Source organism: Homo sapiens, chromosome 12 (genome assembly GCF_000001405.40).
Source record: "Homo sapiens chromosome 12, GRCh38.p14 Primary Assembly".
NCBI lineage: Eukaryota > Metazoa > Chordata > Mammalia > Primates > Hominidae > Homo > Homo sapiens.
The window spans coordinates 78,814,604-78,836,907 of NC_000012.12; the positions used below are offsets into that span (position 1 = coordinate 78,814,604).

The window sequence follows — 22,304 nt, forward strand, 5'->3', positions numbered from 1 at the left end:
CAATCTCACTCCAAGGTACACACCAACATAAATGAAAATATATGTCGAGTCAAAGATGTATACATGAATGTTAACAAAGACTTTTTCATAATGACCATAAGCTCTAAACCCAAATGCCTATCTACAAATAAAAGGATAAACAAATTGTGGCATAAACCTACAAAACAAACAACTGTGCTTACTCACAACAAAAGCATTATGCTAAGTAAAAGAAGGCAAAAACAAACAAAAAGAAATTCATGTACCATATAATCCCACTTATATAAAATTTGAATAAAGGAAAAATTAACAATCAATAGTTATTAGTGTTGAAATGGGTATATGGAGGGGATCTACTGCAAGAGGGTATGAGGTTACTTTTTAGGGTGATGGAAATATTCTGTATCTTGAATGCCATGGTAGTTATATGGATTTGTACATTTGTCTCTCAAAATTCACAATACAATTCACTTTACATTGATGAAATTTACTATGTGAAATATACGTCAATTAAGCTGATTATGAATTCCTAGGAAATAATAATTGTCATAGTAGAACTTATAAAAGCTGCAGAATGTAGGAAAATCACAAGTACTTTGTGGAAAACTTATAGCATTAAATATTTATATTAAAAACTAGAAAGTATCATAATGAAGGACCTCAAACATGCATCTAAAGAAATGTTAATGTACCAAGATATTCAGGACCTGGACCCAAAATTAAGCCAAATGGATCTGATAAACCTCTACAGAACTGTCCGCCCCAAAACAATAGAATACACAGTCTTCTCATTGCCACATGGCATATACTCTAAATCAACCACACATTTCGACATAAAACAATCCTCAGCAAATGAAAAAGAATTTATATCATACCAAACACACTGTCAAACCACAGTGCAATAAAAATAAACATCACAACTAAAAAAAATATCATTCAAAACCATGCAATTACATGGAAATTAAACAGGCTGCTCCTGAATAACTTTTAGGTAAATAATGAAATTAAGACAGAAATCAAGAAGTTCTTTGAAACCAGTGAGAACAAAGATACAACATACCAGAATCTCTGGGACACAGCTAAGGTAGTGTTAAGAGGAAAATTTATAGCACTAAATACCTAAATCAAAAAGTTAGAAAAACCTCAAATTAACAACCTAATATCACAGCTAAAAGAACTAGAGAAGCAAGAGCAAACCAACTCCAAAGCAACAGAAGACAATAAATACCAAAATCAGAGGAGAAATGAAGGAGATTGAGACATGAAAAACCATTCAAAAGAGCAACAAATCCATTTTTTTTTGTTTTTTTTCTTTTGTTTTAATATATCCTCGATGAACACACACGCACACACAAAAAAACAAGGTCATGAGGTCAGGAGATTGAGACCAGCCTGGCTAACACGGTGAAACCCCATCTCTACTGAAATAAAATACGAAAAATTAGCCAGGTGTGGTGGCGCACACCTGTAATCCCAGCTACTCTGGAGGCTGAGGCAGGAGAATTGCTTGAACCCGGGAGGTGGAGGTTGCAGTGAGCTGAGATCACACCACTGCACTCCAGCCTGGGTAACAAAGCCAGACTCCATCTGAAAAAAAACAAAAAACAAAAAAGAGAGAGAAAATCCAAATAAACACAAATAGAAATGAGAAAGAGAACATTACCACTCACCCCACAGAAACATAAATAACCATTGGAGCCTACTACAAACACCTCTATGCACACAAACTAGAAAATATAAAAGAAATGGATAAATTTCCAGACACATACACCCTTCCAGAAGTGAACCAAGAAGAAATTAGTTCCCTGAACAGACCAATAACAAGCTCCAAAATTGAATCATTAATATATAGCCTGCCAACCAATAAAAGCTCAGGACCAGATGGACTCAAAGTCAAATTCGACCAGATGTATTCAAAGTTAAATTCTACCAGATGTAAGAGCTGGTAACATTTCTACTAAATCTATTCCAAAAAAATTGAGGACAAGGGACTCCTCCCCAACACATTCTATGAGGCCAGCATCCTCCTGTTACCAAAACCTAGCAGAGTCACAAGAAAGAAAGAAAACTTTGAGGTTTTTCTAAGTTTTTAACGTAGGTTATTTATTTAAAACCAGACAATATCCTTGATGAATATTGATGCAAAAATATTCAGCAAAATACTACCAAACCAAATCCAGCAGCACATTGAAAAGCTTATCCTGCCTGGAGCGGTGGCTAGTACCTGTAATCTCAGCACCGTGGGAGGCAGAGGCGGGCAGATCACCTGAGGTCAGGAGTTTGAGACCAGCCTGGCCAACGTGGTGAAACCCCATCTCTACCAAAAATACAAAAATTAGCCTGATGTGGTGGTGTGCACCTGTAATCCCAGCTACTTGGGAGGCTGAGGCAGAAGAATTGCTTGAACCTGGGAGGCGGAGGTTGCAGTGAGCCGAGATCGCGCTACCAATGCACTCCAGCCTGGGCAACAAGAGCGAAACTCGTCTCAACAACAGCAACAAAAAAGTTTAACCACCACGATTAAGTAGGCTTTATTCCTGGGATGTAAGGTTGGTTTGACATACACAAATCAATAGATATGATTCATCACAGAAACAAAGCTAAAGACAAAACCACATGATTATCTCAATAGATGCAGAAAAGGCTTTTTATAAAACTCAACATCCTTTCATCTTAAAAACCCTCGGTAAACTAGATACTGAAAGAACCAATTTTAAAATAATAAGCACCATCTATGACAGTTGACACCCAACATCATACTGAATGGGCAAAAACTGGAAGCATTGCCTTTGAAAACCTTCACAAGACAAAGATGCCCTCTCTCAGCACTTCTATTCAACGTAGTATTGCAAGTCCTGGCCACAGCAATCAGGCAAGCCAAAGAAATAAAGTGCATCCAAATAGGAAGAGATGAAATCAAACTATTCCTGTTTGCAGATGACAAACCTACACTGACTTTTTAAAAAAAATGCTGATACATAATTGTATATATTTATGGGATGCAAGTGATATTTTGAGACCTGAATACAATGTATAATGATCCAATCAAAGTATTTAGGATATACATCACCTCAAACATTTATCTTTTTTTATGTGTTTGGGACATTGCTAATCATCTGTTCTAGCTATTTCAAAATATACAGTATAGTGTTGCTAACTATAGTCACCCTACTGTGCTATCAATGCTAGAACTTATTTCTACTATCTAAGTGTACGTCTGTACCCATTAACCAACCTCTCTTTTTTTCCTCCCCCCAGCGTTTCCCAGCTTCTGGTAACCATCATTCTACTCTCAACCTCCATGGGATCAATTTTTTGATTCCCATTATGAGTGAGAACATGTAATATTAATCTTTCTGTCTTATTTCGTGTCTGCCTGGCTTATTTCACCTAATATAATGACTTCCAGCTCTATTCATACTGCTCCAAATGACAGGATTTTATTCTGATTTCATTTCGTTTCGGTAAATATCTAGTAGTGAGATTGCTGGAAAGTATGGTAGTTCTATCTGAGAAACCACCATAATGTTTTTCATAATGGCTGTACTAATTTACTTTCCTACTAACAGCACCCTACACTGGTACTTCTTACACAGAAGTAAAGCTTTAAAAATTTTTAGTTATCAATTAGTCATGACATAGTAAATATGTGTCAATATAACCAAATCTATATTTTAAATTACCCTTAAATCCTCAATTTTTATATGAAGACAAGAGTATTCTCTCTCACCTAGCCTCTCTCTGTAAAAGCACCTGCATGGATTTTTACTGGAATAGTCAATTTGGGTGCTTACATATTCCAAGGAGTGAATTAGAATTCAAATGAGATATAACACAAAGTTACAGACACAAATCCATGAACAAAATTTTAATAACTCAAGCTCAAGAAGGTTTATTTCTTGCTCACTTTTCAGTTTAAGCAGCTAATGCCAATCTTGAAGTAATTAGGAGACTCAGGATTCTTCCGTCTTCATTCTACTTTACGGGAGAGCCTTACTGTCATTTCCATCATCCAGTCACTTGAACGGGAGAGAAAGGGTGGAGCAGCCCCACCCATCTTTTTAACCCTTGTCCCAGATACGACATGTAGCACTTCCACTGCATTGCACTGGCTAGGTCTCAGAGACATGTTTACGTTTAACTGCAAGGAAGCCTGGGACTTGTAGTCAAATTGTGTGGCCCCCCACCCCCAAAAAAAGAGCAAATAGATTTCAGTAAATGGCAGTTTCTGGTATAGAAATTCATTCCAGTTTGTATTTTAACATTTGAACTGTTAAGTGAAAAAGCTGAGTTCTTCTGGGGAAAAATACATATGGCATAGTGTCATAAAAAAGATGAACAAAGAATCATCATGCTTGCGCCCTCGATACCTCTGCCTTTAACAAATGAGTAAATAGACAAACTATTAAACTTCTGTAAAATTGCATTTTGAGCAATTTTCTGACTGGATTATTTCTAAGATTAGCTACAGCTTTAAAATGCTATGATTATACTTCTGACAGTTTCCGAGGAGTTGAGCGAGGCTTAAATGTACAAAACTCCAGCAAACTGAAAAAGTGAAAAGCATATTCTGAAATAAATATTAAGGTTCATATGGATGATTTTCATTACATATCAGAGTTAACTTATTCTTTCTGTAGAAATTAAAGTGACAGTAATTGGGTAACTATATGATATACCAATTTATTTAAATCACTTTTTATATTTTATATTTTTAAAACACTATGTGCTGACACTACTATTTCTGGCACATAGCAGGCACCCTATAAGCATGTGCTGAATTAATAATGATGAATAAATGGACAAAATGAATTCAAATAAAATTTAGGTATTATAGCCTGTATTCGTTATAAAAATATTTCCTAGACATCATCTCCATGGTTAATTGAAAAACATATTGAAAAGTCTCCTATAAAATTTAATACTTAAAAGGCAGTGCTCTCTGACATTTTCTTCAGGGCATGTTTTAAATGAAATTTAGATTGGTCTAATAATTAAACTAACTCTAACAAAAATCAAAGAAATGTACTTCTACAACTGAGACTGGTAAATGCATAGATATTATGTAGTTCAAATGAAAAAGACTACATTTTCCCACAACATATTACATACCAAAATTGATATTTTTGGAGGAATTTCCTAAGGGAAAGAACTAAAGAAGGAAATGTAATGTTGAAATATTGGGCCTATTTTCATTCATTATTTAACTTAAACCTAAAAATATAGTAGCAATAGAGTGGTAGATAAGTGAGAGGACTTTGATTCTAAAGCTGGCATAAAGCTTCAAAACACTATGAAACAATTGCCACATTTCCTATTCTCGATTATAACTATCATCCTGCTCCTACACCAGCTTAAGGCAGTTTTCCTTTCTTCAGTGCTTCTGGGACAGAAAAATTTACTTATATTCATGTAAATGCAGGCAAATTCCCTCCACAATTTTATATTTTTACATAATTAATTCTCACCTTTGTTTATTTGTCCAACAAATATTCATCAAGCATTTCCTTTGGGTCAGGCACAGCTCTAGGTCTGAGTACATACTGGTGAGATAAAGACACACAGTTCCTGTCCTTTTTCAATTTGTACTAAAATAATATAGTATGGACCAGTATGTACTCTTTATCTCACCAGTATCCTCAATTATAAATGCTGCACCACTGTATTTGCTGAGTTAAAAGATTGAATAATTTGCCATTCACCAATTATAGAAAAGCAAAACATTCAAAAACTAAAATTAATATAGAGATTGATTTCATGTAAAAAGATAAATGAAGTTAGATAAAGTAGGGTTCAAATCCTATTTCCTTTTTCTTTTATTATCCACAAGTGTGTGGAAATGCTAGAAAAATGTCATAGAATATCTTAAATATATCTAAAAATCAAAAATAGCTACTTTGGAAGGTAGATATTATACATTAATTCATTTATTCATTCTGCAAATATTTATTCTCACCTTGGGACAAACATGCACAGATTTAAAATATAGATCAAGGGCCTGGGTTCATAGTAAATGTTCTATAGTGGTCACTAGTGTTAGACTCACTTATAGAGCCTTAAGTTCACATAAGAGTAGTCAATGATGTTTCACATAAAGAAAATACAAATAGAAAAGCAGGACAACAGAACGATTTTATATCAGGTCCTCAAATAGCATTTGAGGAGCTTGTAGGAAGTGGACTGAATTGAGAAAAAATTAGTAAAATATTACTCTGGTAAAGTAGAGTGGCAGAAGTTTGATAACTAAGAACTTGTATGATATTCTATAGAACAATGCATAACAGATTTGTGTTATAGAAAATTATTCTAATAGCAACTAGAAGGTATACTGGAGATGAAACAATACTTGGATTAGAGAGATCATTTTCAAAGCATTTGAAGGCACACATCCATTTTCTCCATGTACCAGGCACAATGATAAGTGACATTGATGCATAAATGAAGAGACGTCCACTTGTAAATCCAGCAGAGAAAGGATAAGGCTTGAAATGAAGTGGAAGAGGGAATAGTGAGTCATGGATTTGGGAAAACTTTAGGAGGTATAATTGACAAGAACATATGACCAAGTACATGTGGGCTTTGAGGAACAGGGAAGCATCCAGGATGACTCTCAAGTTTCTGACTAAAGCAGCTGAGTAGGATAGAGGCAGCACAGGGCTGGTGAAGAGTGTGATCTCTAGAGAAAAGATTGTTTGGGTTCAAATCCGGACTTCATGATTTTTTAGCTGACCATACCTTGGATAAGTAGCTCCTCCAATTATTAGCCATATGCCTGAGGTGGAACAGGGAAGACCTGAAGGTCAAAAAAGTAGAGAAATCCTCCCAGAACTTGATTGCTTTTCTGGAGGGAATTGAACATGTTTGCAGTTTAGGGTTAGTTTTCTTATTAAGAATATTATTTTTAGAAAGGTAGGTATAGACACAAGAATATATGTGGAAACCAGACAGCCAAGGAGTAATTGCATGAATATTTGATCGTTTGAGGTACCATCAATATTAAATCCTTCTTCTTTCCATTGGTAAAAGAGGGAATAACATGGACAATATTTGTTCTATTTTCTTCTATGGAAACTGAGAGCAATTGCACCTAATGGCAGCAAAGCTGTGTGCAAGTATGTAAAGCAGAGCCCTGGGTGTTGAATCTGAATCTGAAGCAAATGATGTAAACACATTAAGATGGTTGGAATCATTAAAATTAGCTGTAACTAAATCCAGAGACAGAAATGCTTTAGCTGTTTGTTTATTTAGTAAGAACACTTATAATTCTTACTATGCTTCAGGTCCAGATCTAAGTGTTTTACAAATATTCACTTACTAGGAAATGTTTATTAGTCGTTGACACTCTTCATCAAATACTCTGAACTCATGGTACAGTTGTACTCCCTGATAGCCTTCTGGTTGAGTGAAACCAAATAACCAGTTTTGGCCAATGAGTTAAGTGACAGTAGTTCCTTCTTTAGCCTGGTCATAGAAATGAGAATGACAAGACAAGGAGCTGTTACCTGCCAACCCATAATAAATATGTACCATGAGTATAAAATATACCTTTATTTAAAAATTGTTGAGATTTTGAAGAGTCGTTACCAAAAAGTAGCCTTCCCTAACCTAACCTGCCCAACACAAACCTTTATGAGGTAAATACTGTTATTATTCCCATAGTATAGATGAGGAAACTAAGCCACGGAAAGGTTAAGTACCTTATACAAAGCCACAGAAAGGTTAAGTACCTTATACAAAGTAACATAAGAGTAAGCAGCAGACCCAAGATTCAAACCCAGTCACACTGGCTTTAGAGCTTAGACTATTAATTGATAAGCTATGCTGTCTTTCTAGATTGTCAAACATAAAGCATGATTTCTGTGCTTTTTTGATTTTTATACTACCAGACTTGCCCTATACCTGTGTGCCTTCTTTATTAGCTACCCATTATTAGTTTGGGCCCTCAAGTAAGTTTGTCTTTTCTTACCTAACATAGACAGAGTTGTTTTGATGCTTAAAACCAAAAACTCCAAAAGACACATGTATATGCATGCATGGCTTTCTATCTTAAAAGCAACAGGGATTCACTGAACAAGTTAAAATGTAATGTCATAATCCAATTGTATTAAAATAAGTCGAATATCTTATAGAGTGATCCTACATTCTAATTTTATGAATTGGAAGTGTAGTAAAATTAATTTATTTAAAATAAGGATATTAGCAAAATGTCTTCAAGGTCCCAATGAATTGAGTCATGAATCTCATAGAATTTTAGATATTAGGGAAGGGTAACACAGGAATGCTGTGCTCTCGTTATGATGCTAATATCAAATAAATCCTAACTGTAAATATTCATTCCAATTTTTAGAAACTGATTTCTATAATGTTATGACTAAGAAAATATATTCTGAAAGTCCCACAGAACTACTTTTCTATTCACTATTGATGTTAAAGTATTTCCAAAAATCCTGGTTAAACATTTGGAACTCCATTTTAAAGCTAAAAAAGAAGCTTTGAAAAACTAAGACTGGATTTTACATTTGATAAGACTGCCAATTACTTTTCAATTTGGCTGTTAAAAATATTTAGATAGTAAATTGAAAGTTTTTATATCTACCACTAAAAAGTGGTGTTTGTCCTCAGAATGTCTGAGATAGAAATACATGATGACGCAAAGGCCTAAGAAAACTTTTAGTTACAGTGGCTGGAACTCAATATATATCTCCGAGAAGTAAAACAATACATACTGTCAACTTGGATTATTTCCATAATTGTCTGCCTCTTTAAATCAGATTTTTAAAATCTGAAACTAATCGAAACAAAATAATAGTTTACTCATTATACTTGAAAACTGCAGATAAATTTTATTATTATTTGTATATGTTAAACCTCTCCTAGAAAACATAGGACTAGATGTTATTGCACAAAACTAACCATAATTTTTTAGATTTTAGAATTCCCAAGGCAGTTAATAGAGTATAAGGATGATAATTTTGTTTTAGGCCATATAAAAGAAATTATGCTTATACAGATTTTTCTGTTTACCTTTTACAGAATAGTTGCATGTATTTGTTTCTATGTGTGCTGGTTTATTGTAATTTGCTATTTTTTTCAGTAATCTCAATTGCAATGACTTCTTTCTATGTAAAGAGAGAATATTAGTAAATTTGGGACCATTGTTTATAAGTAAGGTTTGCCAAAAGGCTAATACATTCTTTTCTGTAAAAATATAATTTCATGTTTGCATTACGGAAGAATGAATTAACATATGCAAATCCAATGACATTTTTGTTGGAGATCTTGCTGCATAACCCTATCATCTTGATCTACTTAAAGTGAAGTTTGTCCCTTTGTTTAAGTTCTAATACAATTGCTAAGCAAGGACCTTTACTTAGGAGGTACTGTGGGGAATACAATTCAGAGATTCTGTGAATAAATTTTTGTCATTAACTTTGTCAATCACACTATAATTCTTATCATAACTTCTCTCCCGGATGGAGTAGAATGATGTGGTAATTTCCTGCCAAGGTAAAATTGTTGGCCAGGAACTCCCTAACTTCTTAGTTTGCCCCAGCACAAGCCAGCCTGAGAGTTTAGATGCACAGAACCACTAAGATGTTTCAGGTTTTAACTGTCAGGTAGAGGGCCAAAAGCCGTCATAGAACAGCTAAGTATGGCTTGAATATTACTTTTAAGCAGAATACAAAAGGTGCTTGGCCTAATCAGAAAGTACTGCCTTGTCAAGTTTTAAGACTCCCCCAAAACAAGTTACCAGTGTCTATTTAGAATCCAGGAAAAGACACGTAAACTGTGAGCAATTAGGATGATTTTTATATTTTTCTACTATATTTCTTCAACAGTAAATATGAAAGAAATAGGCTTGTATTGCTTGTTTGGAGAATCTCACTCTTCTGTTATTAATCTCATTATTTGCCTAAGTGCTTACTATGTAATCATTAGATGAAGAAGTATACAACAATAGAAGGAAAATGTATGAATTCTAAACTAAGTTTATCTCTGAAGTCTGTCAATTATACATTTTCTTATTCCCCTAAACGAGGAGAGAATATTACTTATAATTACATTATTTAGTTACTAGAAAGAACGGAAAGATCTAAACATAAGGTTCAAAATCATAATTAGATGGTTCCTTGCAGTGAGCTCAGTAATCCATAATAATTTGATACAAACTGACATTTGGCTAAACCTGTGACAAGGAAAAAAACAAACTTTCATTGGAAAATAAGTAAATAATCTCCTAGGATCTTGAAGTATAGGCTAAAATTAAGGGTTTTTCGAGCTGAAGATAAGCTGATAAGTGTTACAGCACTTTCCTCCAGACTTTCAGCAAGCCCACAATCTACAATAGTCCCTAGTATTCCTTTTATTTTGCTCTATCACTTGCTTTTCTTTTTCTTTTTCTTTTTCTTTTTTTTTAAACTCCCCAGTGACTGAAGACATTTTTCTTAACAGGTGATTTTTCAATGAAATGTCATTTTGGCTTTGTGAGTATCCTTAGTGGCATGTACCAAATGACTCATTTCATTTGTGACCAGGGCCAAATTCAAATTTAATTTTCCAGAGGGGACAAGTTAATGTATAACCTATTGTGCCACCTGGCATCCTAAATTAAATTTCCTGAACTTTTTTCACTGAGAACAGAATCAGGTATATTGCTGTGTAAAGGCATTTTCAAGTGTCAGCTGTGACTTTGATCACTCTTATAGTCATATAACCTTTTTGTTAGAACTAATAAATAATAAATACCCAAGATTCTTAATTTTGAAAATAACAATTGAGTTATTTGGCTCTATGGAATTGCAAATGCCTATATTCTGAACATTACGGAAATACTAGAAGTTTTCACTTGGACTTTCATTAAAACATCATATATCCAAATGATATGCTTTATGAATACAAACTTAGAGTAAAATTTTAATTTGAAATTCAAACCCAAACAAATTTAATTCCAAGGATTCCAAAGCCCATGTTCTTCCCACCACATAATATTAGAGTTGCAGGTATTTTATTAATTTTTATGGAATGTGTGTATATCATTAAATTAAACAGAGAGAAAAGCATTTTAGACCACATCAAAATGGCATCTAGACACAAAGCCCTGGTAACATTTTATATCTGTAGGTTTAAACAAATGAAGTAAAACTCAGAAGGATTCCATGTGTATGAAATTCTGATTTATTAAGGCCACTTTTTGTCTGGAGTGGCTTGACATGTCACCAGGACACAATAATCATCTCTAGCATAATATATATCCTGTAGCTCACCAATTTACATTCCATTAGTAACTTGCTAATTTTTATACAAATATTCATTTTTCTCTATATGTTTGACTAAACCCAAAATGAGCCATTTCAAATAGCTAACAAATATTACACTTTTTAAATTAATTAAATACTGTTTGAATTTATGAATGAATTTTTTTTTAATTTCAGAAGCTGTTACTCCCTTCCTTATCCTTAACTGGAAGTTAAGACTACAGATTCTGAGTTAGACCAAGCTTCAAATTCCAGATATGCCATTTATTTGCGGTGTAACCTTGGAAGATAATAATAATGATTTCATTGGCTAATTATGAGAATTAGGCAATTTCATTTGACTAACGCACTTCAAACAACACCCACACATAGTGAATACTCAGAAAACATCAAGAAATACCTGTCTATAATACTTGATTTCTAGTGTATTTATTTTCTCTTTTCCCTCCTTTTTACTTCATTTTTCTGACAAGTGATAAATAATAATTATAAAAAATTAGAATATATGAAAAATAAAACTCATGGCATCTCCATCTAATCACATGTGCTATAAATATTTGAGAGTGTTGCTTCTTTTTTAAAATTTTGTTTTAGGTTCAGGGGTTCATGTATCGTTTGTCATATAGGTAAACTTGTGTCATGGGAGTTTGGTGTACAGATTATTGCATCACCCAGGTACTAAGCCTAGTACCCAACAGTGATTTTTTCTGATCCTATTCCTCCTCCTACCCTTGACTCTCAGCTATGCCCTGGTATCTGTTATTCCCTTCTTTGTGTCCATAGGTACTCTATGTCTAGCTCCCACTTATAAGTGAGAACATGTTATATTTGGTATTCTGTTCCTGTGGTTGCTTGCTAAGGATAATGGCCTCCAGCTCCAAACATGTTCCTGCAAAGAACATGATCTTGTTCTTTTTTTATGGCTGCACAATATTCCATCTTACATATGTACCATATTTTCTTTATCCAGTTTGCCATTGATGGACATTCAGGTTGATTCTATGTTTTTGCTATTGTGAATAGTGCTGCAGTAAACATACACATGTAGGTGTCTTTATGGTAGGACAATTTATATTCCTTTGGGTATATACCCAGTAATTAGATTGCTAGATTGAATGGTAGTTCTGTTTTCAGTTCTTAAAAGGAATCACCACACTGCTTTCCACAATAGTTGAACTAATTTACACTTCCACCAGCAGTGTATAAGTGTTCCTTTTTCTCCACAACCTCATCAGCATCTGTTATTTTTTTACTTTAGTAATAGCCATTCTGACAGGTTGAGATGGTATCTCATTGTGGTTTTGATTCCATTTCTCTAATTATCAGTGATATTAAGCATTTTTATATACTTGTTGGCCGCATGTAGGCCTTATTTTAAAAAGTGTCTGTTCTTGTCCTTTGCCCACTTTTTAATGGGATTTTCATTGCTGTTTGTAAATTTAAGTTCTTTGTAAATGCTGGATATTAGATCTTTGTCAGATACATAGTTTGCAACTATATTTTTCCCTTCTGTAGACTGTTTACTCTCTTGGTAGTTTCTTTGCTGTGCAGAAGCTCTTTAGTTTAATTAGATCCAATTTGTCAATTTTTGCTTTTGTTGCAGTTACTTTTGGTGCATTGATCATGAAATCTTTGCCAGTTCCTATGCCATAAATGGTATTGCCTAGGTTATCTTCCAGGGTTTGTATAGTGATGGGTTTTACATTTAATCTTTAATCCATCTTGAGTTGATTTTCATAGATGGTGTAAGAAGGGGTCCAGTTTCAATCTTCTGCATATAGTTACCCAGTTATCCCAGTGCTATTTTTTGCATATGGGGCCTTTTCCCCACTGCTTGTTTTTGTAAGCTTTGTCAAAGATCAGATGGTTGTAGGTGTATGGCATTATTTCTGGGTTCTCTATTCTGTTTTGTTAGTCTATGTGTCTATTTTTATACCAGTACCTTGCTGTTTGGGTTACTGTAGCCCTGTAGTACAGTTTGAAGTTGGGTAACATAATGCCTCCAGCTTTGTTCTTTTGATTACCTAGGCTATTTGGGCTCTTTTTTGGTTCCATTTGTATTTTAAAATAATTTTTTCTAATTCTGTGAAGAAAATGTCATTGGTAGTTTGATAGGAATAGCACTGAATCTGTAAGTTGCTTTGGGCAGTATAGCCATTGTAACAATATTGAGTCTTCCTATTCATGAGCATGAAATGTTTGTCTGCTTTTTGTGTCATCTCTGATTTCTTTGAACAGTGTTTTGTAATTTTTCTTGTAGGGATCTTTCACTTCCCTGGTTAACTGTATTCCTAGGTATTTTACTCTTTTTATGACAATTGTCACTGGGATTGTGTTCTTGATTTGGCTCTTGGTTTTGATGTTGCTGATGTATAGAAATGCTACTAATTTCTGTATGTTGATTTTGTATCCTGAAACTTTGTTGAAGTTGTTTGTCAGCTGAAGGAGCTATTAAGCAGAGACTTTGGGGTTTTCTAGATATAGAAGCATGTCATCTGCAAACAGAGATAGTTTGACTTTCTCTCATCCTATTTGAATGCCTTTTATTTCTTTCTCTTGCCTGATTGCTCTGACTAGGACTTCCAATACTATGTTGAATAGAAGTGGTGAGAGACGACATACTTGTCTTGTGCCAGTTTTCAAGGGGAATGATTCCAGCTTTTGCCCATTCAGTATGCTGTTGGTTGTAGCTTTGTCATAGATGGCTCTTATTGTTTCAAAATATCTTCATTCACTACCTGGTTTATTGAAGGTTTTTTAACATGAAAGGATGTTGAATTTTATCAAAACCTTTTTATGTATATATTGAAATAATCACGTGCTTTTTTGTCTTCAGTTTTGTTTCTGTGATGAGTCACATTTATTGATTTGTGTATATCAAACCAACCTTGCATCCCAGGAATAAAGCCTACTTGATCATGGTAGATAAACTTTTGTGCTGCTAGATCTGGTTTGCTAGTATTTTGTTCAGTATTTTTGCATCAGTGGTCATCAACAACATTGGCCTGAAGTTTTATTTCTTTGTTGTGTCTCTGCCAGGTTTTGGTATCATTATGATGCTGGCTTCATAGAATGAGTGGGGAAGGAGTCCCTCCTCCTCAATTTTTTGGAATAGTATCAGTAAAAATGGTATCAGCTCTTCTTTGCAAATCTGGTAGTATTCGACTGTGAATCTATCTTGTCCTGGAGTATTTTTGGTTAGTAGATTGTTTATTACTGATTCAATTTCAGAGCTCATTGTTTGTCTGTTCAGGGATTAAATTTCTTCCTGGTTTTTCCTAGGAGTACATACACACACTGTTACGATCACATTGCAAATATGATTCTTGGTCTTGCCTTATTCATATAATATTACAACAACAACAAAATATTTTCTAAGAAACATGTAGACATCATTTTAAATATCCACATAATGGTTTAAATTATTAATATATACTAAGTTATCTAACTATATTTCTATTATAGAGCATTTAGTTTATTTTTATCTTTTTATCATTATAGTTAGTGTCATGATTCATTCATTCACCAACTAAGAGTGTTCTCTAGCCAGGAGATACGGTAGAAAACAAAAGATGGAGAATCCCTACCTTTGTGAAGCTAATACTGTGGCTGGGGAAGAAATAATATAGACACAGATAAAAACTTCTATATACATATAAATAAATGGCATGGGCTACAAAGAATACTAAGGCAAGACATAGATATAAAAGGTAATGGGGAGGCTCTCTTTTAGACAAGGGTGAATTGAGAAAGCTTCTCTGAAGGGGAGATAGTTGAACAGACACCTGAATGCAATCCTGATGAAATCATAAAAATATTAGTGCATAAAATGTCTCATTATAATTTTTTTAGTATATATGTACATTTATACATAGATGAAAAATCAATAGGTGCAAAAATCCTAAATATTTTCATGCCGTATCCTAAAGGCACTCCCCAGCAAGCATTAATATAAGCAAATCAATAACATGATAACAGCAAAATAAACATATTTGACTCACTGGTTGATAGATGACAGGTTCAAAATATGGCTCATAGAGTTACATGATTACTCAGGCCAATTTTCTTGTCTGGCAGGTTACAAGTCATGGATCTGAAAAGGGAATTTGGCTTTATATTTCTCAGCAAAATCGTCATCATCTATTTATAAAATATGGTCAACATCCATGGGTATGATTCTAACAGGCTCATCTGCTTGGGTTCAAACTATTGGCAACAGCATATCTACATATTATTATACCTATAAAACAACTTAGACTCTCCTGTGGAATCTCAGTAGACAGAAACCTGTTATATTCAGCAATCTATAACCTGCAAAGAATTTCTTCTGACAGTCAAGGTGCATAATGGAGGCTGCCTTTGCTTAGAATTTTACATAATCACTGACAGTCAGCCTTCCTGTAGAAGTTCCCATATTCAGCGCTTCAGCCCTTTGATCATAATGCAATAGGACACATGTCAGAAATTATATTTCTATAAAGTGAAATAAATCTTGTTCTTTAACCCAGAAATGACTATAAACATTACCTTCATGCAAATTTCACTCATATGCATATATTCAGCTTCTGTAAGGAGAACACTGAATGACAATTAGGTAGTGGTATTTTTAATTGAAGACAAGATTAAATTTTACTTAGCAGATTCTCAAATAGTACAAGCTCAAAACTTTCATCTATATTCTATAGTAAAAACACAACCCTTTGACCTCAAAGCATTTCAGGTTTTTAAATTTTTCTTTGACTGAAAGAAAAAGTGAAATTAATTTGGATAAGTCCTCTTGATGGAAAAAATTCATACAATATTTATATATCTGTTCTGTTCTTTAGTAGTGTGTTTATATATTTAGAGATAAAACCCAGAATTTCTTTTTTAGTTTTTTTGTTTGTTTGTTTGTTTGTTTACAATGTAGTACTATAGGAGCTCAAAAAACCTAAACAAAGCCTTAGGTGCATATACAAGGCTCAAATTGGAGATATGAGGGATTTAAGACTGGGCAATGGTAAGAAAGAGGAAAAGTAATGAAATGAGAACATACCTAAAAACACTAGGGAAGAATTTGTGGTAAGAATGGGCAGATAAGTGTCAGGCATGGTGGCTCACACCTGTAATCCCAGCACTTTGGAATGCCAAGGCTGACAGATCACTTGAGACCAGGGGTTCAAGACCAGCCTAGCCAACATAGTGAAACCACAGTTTCTATTAAAAATACAAAAAATCAGCTAGGCATGGTGGTGCACATCTGTAATCCCAGCTACTTGGTAGGCTAAGGCATGAGAATTGCTTGAACCGAGGAGGCAGGGATTGCAGTGAACTGTGATCAGACCACTGCACCTCAGCCTGGGTAGCAGAGCAAGACTCTGTCAAAAAAAGAAAAAAAAAAAAAGAATGGTTAGATAAGAATTAGAAGTACCATGAGAAGGAGAAAGCAGAAAAGGAGGTAGGTAGAAAAAAAGACATAAAGAGTAGATAGAAATAGAAGCAAGAAGAAAGGGAAGAGAAAAGAAGTATTAGTAGAGAGGATTATATCAGCCCTCAACAAAAAAGAGGTATCAAGAAGGGAAAAGAGGAGAAAGTTAGAGGCAAAGGAAAGATAAATTCCAAGACTGAAAGTTACATAATACAACTACAACTAGGGATGGATGGATGGATGGTTAGATAGATGCATAGATAGATTAGATAGATAGATAGATGATAGATAGATGATAGATAGATAGATAGATAGATAGATAGATAGACAGATAGATAGATAAACTATCTCGTAAAGATACACAGCTGTCTCAGAGAACACAATATGTGGAAGTTCAACCAGGTCTTTCCAGGAATTAACACCAGGACTAGAAAGCTGATAATTTCAAGACCTTATAGTCTTAATTGTATGTACTTGCTCCCTTCTTCTCTTTCTGCAGTTTGGCTTCTAGTTAGAAGTTTTGTTTTCTCACAGTTGCCAGTTTTTCATCTATTCAGTATGACCAACATCAGAGACTGGCTAGGATTACGAATTTTAATCCTCGACTTACCCAAAAGGCAGCTCTGCTTTGGGCCAGCCACCCCTGCAGGAGAGCCTACCACCAGAGAAATAAGGAGAAAATATAATATCCATGAGTATTCTTAGAAGTAAGGGAAGAGGAATGGCTTACCCCTACCTACAACATTCCAAATTAGTGAACTCATATGATGAGTGAGGTGCATTAACTAATATTGAAACAAAATATAAATGAATAGTGAGAAAAAATGAGATCGAAAAATTTTTACTAAATTTTGTTTTAAGTAAAGATTTAAATTTACTCACTAATAATGCCATTGATTTCTGCTTGTAACTAATACATTATTACTGTTTTTATTTATTTCTTAATGATAGCAATTAAAGCTTTGGTTATAATTCTCCTACATTAATTTAGTGGAAGCTTTCCAACAGTAATCTATTAAATTGTCCCTGTTAAATTAGCATGATGGACTTTTAATGGATCTCTTAATAAACATTATGATGATCAAAAATATTGTGAAATCAAAATCACTCTCAATGACATTTCTGACTTTGTGTAGTAACAGTCCTCAAAGTCACGGATTCTGGTCCTCTGAGAAATATCTCAAAATCCATTATTAAAAAATTTCTGTACTGCTAGCAAGAAAAATGACAAGCGAACATAGACTAGGTCACGTTTAACAAGATTTTTTTAAAGAAATAAGCTCTTTAATTAGCTAATTTAAAGTTTTCATTATGATTCTCCAATTCTATGATCTTTCCCAATAAAATAGAGATAGAAGAGATGAGATTTGATTTTGAATTAAAGGAGTATAATAGATGGGCCATCTATTTGTATTTGTAAACTTCATGTCTTGGGATCATGTGTTCAATGATTTGGATCACCCATAAAGGCAAATCTTGAGGAGTTTAATTTAACCTAATTTCAAAAACGACATTTCCTCTAGGATATAGATTCTTAAGACCTTCATGTACAGCCAGCAGCTATTTCCCTTTGCTTCTGTGGAAACAGACAACAAGACTCCTTGAATTAGCAAAAGCTAGAGAACTTCAATAATTTAACCTGGCTTGTGTCATGAAAAAAAAAAAAAAAAAAAAACCCGCTAAGCTGCATGCTTACAGTCTCTGAGGATATATTTTAAAGAAACTTCTGCAAGTGGTTGAAAGTTGTGCTCTATGCAGCTGCAGTAAGACAATGAAAACTGCTTACCTTGGGAACAATGACTATACCATGCTTATATCATCTGTGTTCTACTTAAATAGTTTACATTGCTGAAGGGGTAGCAAGGCTCATTGTTATGTTTCTTTCTTGCCACCATCATTTCCTATACTCACTGGGTATTTATTGCGAGGAAAGCAAATAGTTTTTATTTGAAATTTTCATTAGATTTTTATTATTTGTGTAATATATTTTCACCAAAGAAAATGTAAATATATACATATAATGACAGAACAGAATTTAGGAAATATTTGTCTTTCTTTTTTTTTTTTTTTTTGAGACAAAGTCTCGCTCTGTCACCCAGGTTGGAGTGCAGTGGCACGATCTTGGCTCACTGCAACCTCTGCCTCCCAGGTTCAAGTGATTCTCCTCCCTCAGCCTCCAGAGTAGCTGGGATTATGGGAGCCCACTCGTGGCTAATTTTTGTATGTTTAGTAGATATAGAGTTTCGCCATGTTGGCCAGGCTGGTATCGAACCCCTGGCCTCAGGTGATCTGCCTGCCTCAGCCTCCCAAAGTGTTGGAATTACAGGTGTGAGCCACCGCGCCCAGCCAGGAAGTATTTGTCTTATAATCCAGCACTTTATTACAAATCCTGGTAACAATTTAATTAATAACCATTAAGACATATTTATATGAGAATATTTGTTTTGCTTTGTTTTATTTTCCCTCATTATTCATTTAGTTCATTCATATATAAAGAATATTTCAAATGCATTAAACTTATAATTTCTAATGAACTACAAATGTTATAGAAAATTTTTTTAAAAATGAAAGAAATATAATAAATTGGAAATACTATATATCATTGCTCTCAGAGACAACTACTATGAATATTTTAAGATAAATATTTCATTTTCCCAATTTGTATTCTGAATAATTGAAATAACTGAATAATATATTAAGAACATACCCCATGTCAGTAAATGTGGAGAAACATCAATAGCATAGTGACCCAAAACATCATTTCTAGAATCACTTTTCCTGGTTTTCTGAATTAAGACTACCACTCAGTTGTGGACAACGGGACAAATTGCTTAACTTTATTGAACCTCATCTCTTTAATGGGGAATAAAGCACTACCTACCACATATGGCTATTGTAAAGTAACTAGTACATGGCATTTATATAACTAGTACATAGTATTTTATATAATACTATATAACTTGATACAATATTATACCACTAGTATATATTATTTTAGGTCACATTGTATATTATAACATAAAATCTTATATTTTTATTACTATTACTGCATACTTTGTCAAATGAATAGCTATACTATGAACTATTTAATCAATTCAATTTTGATGGACTTTCATAGCATTTCCAATTTGTCACTATTAAATAGAATGCCTGTGATAAAAATCTTTAGACATATTCCTTTTTCAATTACCAAATTATTTTGCACAAAATGGAAAGATAAGTCCAAGATTATTCATTTGAAATAATTTCAGAAAATACAAAACTTTAAAATTTTAAATCTTATTAATTACATGCGAGTATAAATAAAACTATGAATAAACACAAAAAGTATCAGAACTCTTCTTGGTGTCAACAAATGCCATTATTTATAACTTGCATGGAGGAACAAAAGGACTCACAATCTTTCAGAAACTTATCTGTTCATAAATAGAAGAATTTTTTTCTTGCCAAATTTCTTCTAGAAAGTTTATACCATATATCTTACATCACGTATTTTCTGTTTAAAATATTCAAACAAATATTTAAACAAAAATAAAAACCGTGTAACATAAATTTATAAGTAACTGTCAGTGTGTAAATATTTCGTGTTCAAGGGTTTATTTTAAATTTGTTATTTGTTTTTTGGAACTCATCTTTCCAACTGAGGGAGTGATAGACATAATGTAGTGATTTTCAGGCTACCCCCCCAAAGACTTTATAAATCATGCTGTGTCTGAAACACATAATTTTACAATTTGTTATAATCTAATATTGAAACAAAAAATTCATGGTGCAAGGAGAATAAAATTTATATTTCTCACAATACTTGATACAGCCACTAGATACTTGCGAAGGGTGTTGACTCTCAGAGAAAGTCTATCAAGCTGGTTCTTTTGGGTTTTGTAAAGGAAAAAAATGGAAAAAGATAGAATAATGGAAATGAGAGAGACATAAAGAAAGCTTAGGATTAGAAGACATTCCGCTAAAAATAATATAAAATTTTGGAAAGAGATGGAAGAAGAAAAATAAATCAGTAGCTTTAGGATAATGATTGATTTTTCCTGATGGTCTCCAGGGCAATTCCTCAAGGACCCAGAGGCAGAAATACTATTTGACCCAGCAATCCCATTACTGGGTATATACCCAAAGGAATATAAATCATTCTATTATAAAGAGACATGTACGCATATGTTTATTGCAGCACTATTCATATAGCAAAGACATGGAATCAACCTAAATGCCCATCAATGATAGACAGGATAAAGAAACTATGCATAGAAAGAAATGAGTTAATGTCCTTTGCATTGACATGGATGGAGGTGGAAGCCATCATTTTCAGCAAACTAACACAGGAACAGAAAACCAAATACCGCGTTTTCTCACTTATTAGTGAGAGGTGAATGATAAGAACACATGGACTCATGCGAGCAAGAAACATACACTGGGGCCTGTCGGAGGAGGCTGGGGGATGGGAGGAAGGAGAGCAGCAGGAAGAATAGCTAATGGGCTATTCAGAATAGCTAATGCTAGGCTTAATACCTAGGTGAGGGGATGATTCATGCAGCAAGCCACCATGGCACATGTTTACCTGTGTAACGATCCTGCACATCCTGCATATGTACCACTGAACTTAAAATAAAAGTTGGAGAAAGAAGAACCTGAGTAACGCAAGAAAAATGAACAAAATTTCTTCTAGAAATTTTATACCATATCAAATTTTATACCATTTTTTAATATGTTTAGTAGAACATGTATTTTTATATCTTTTAATTTTTTTCAAAATAAGCAAATAGAGAATGGCCTATAGGGAGAAAAAGAGAAAAGACATGACAAAGAAAAAGTAGAAAATGACAAACGTTACAAATAAATTGAAATAATTACTAATTATAATTATAGATGGACTTAGTTATTTAGTTAAAAAATAAAGTGGTTCTCAGAGGAACATGTATAGCCTCAAATGTTTATGTTTTAAAAAAAGTAATGACCATAAATTAAGAGGCCAAATCTTTATTATTTTCTCCTTCCTTCTCCCTCCCTTTCAGATGGCATCTTTGGCCACGGATGCATGTCTTTCATGGTTCCTCTCTGAGGTCTCAGCTCTCGCTGGACGGCCTTCACAGCAAGAGGAACCAGGGAGCTTGGCTCCTCATAGGTGGTAGTTGTTTCCTGATGCTGTGGAGCTCTAGATTCTCTCAGCTTCCCTGTATGGCCCTTCAAGTTTTTCAACCTTTGCAGCCACTTGGCTCTTTGAAATGTCTGCTGTTGAACTACTTGGAACACACTCTAGTTTTGCTGACTGTATCCTTAGAGATAGAAGAAGGATTTCCCACAATTCCCTCCCCACTCAGCGCCACAAAATAGTCCACAAATGATTGTAAAATTCACCACATTAAAATATATATATCCTTTTTTATCAAAAACAGTGAAAATGAAAGACAAAAATGACAAGATACATGCAACACATATAAATGATTAGTACCCAAAATATGTATAAACATCTATAATAAGCCAAATTAATAACTATATAAGAAAATGCCATAGATAAGGGAATTCTAATAGAACATTTGAATGGCCCATAAACATATCATAAGCTTAAGTCTATTAGTGAACATGAAAATGCAAATTAAAATAGCATCATTTTATACTCACTAGATAGAAAAAAAACTTTAATCTCCCAATATTAA

At 33.8% G+C, this 22,304-nt stretch overlaps 2 annotated features.

Annotated features, from left to right (window-relative positions):
• Positions 3,953 to 4,153: a silencer, noted in NCBI's record as "peak1851 fragment used in MPRA reporter construct". NCBI's record gives its function as "represses an SCP1 promoter by STARR-seq MPRAs in K562 erythroleukemia cells {active_cell/tissue: K562}" and the evidence as "EXISTENCE:reporter gene assay evidence [ECO:0000049][PMID:32103011]".
• Positions 20,809 to 21,310: an enhancer, noted in NCBI's record as "NANOG hESC enhancer chr12:79229192-79229693 (GRCh37/hg19 assembly coordinates)". NCBI's record gives its function as "activates a minimal SCP1, AML or CMV promoter by ChIP-STARR-seq in naive H9 embryonic stem cells {active_cell/tissue: H9 hESC(naive)}" and the evidence as "EXISTENCE:reporter gene assay evidence [ECO:0000049][PMID:30033119]".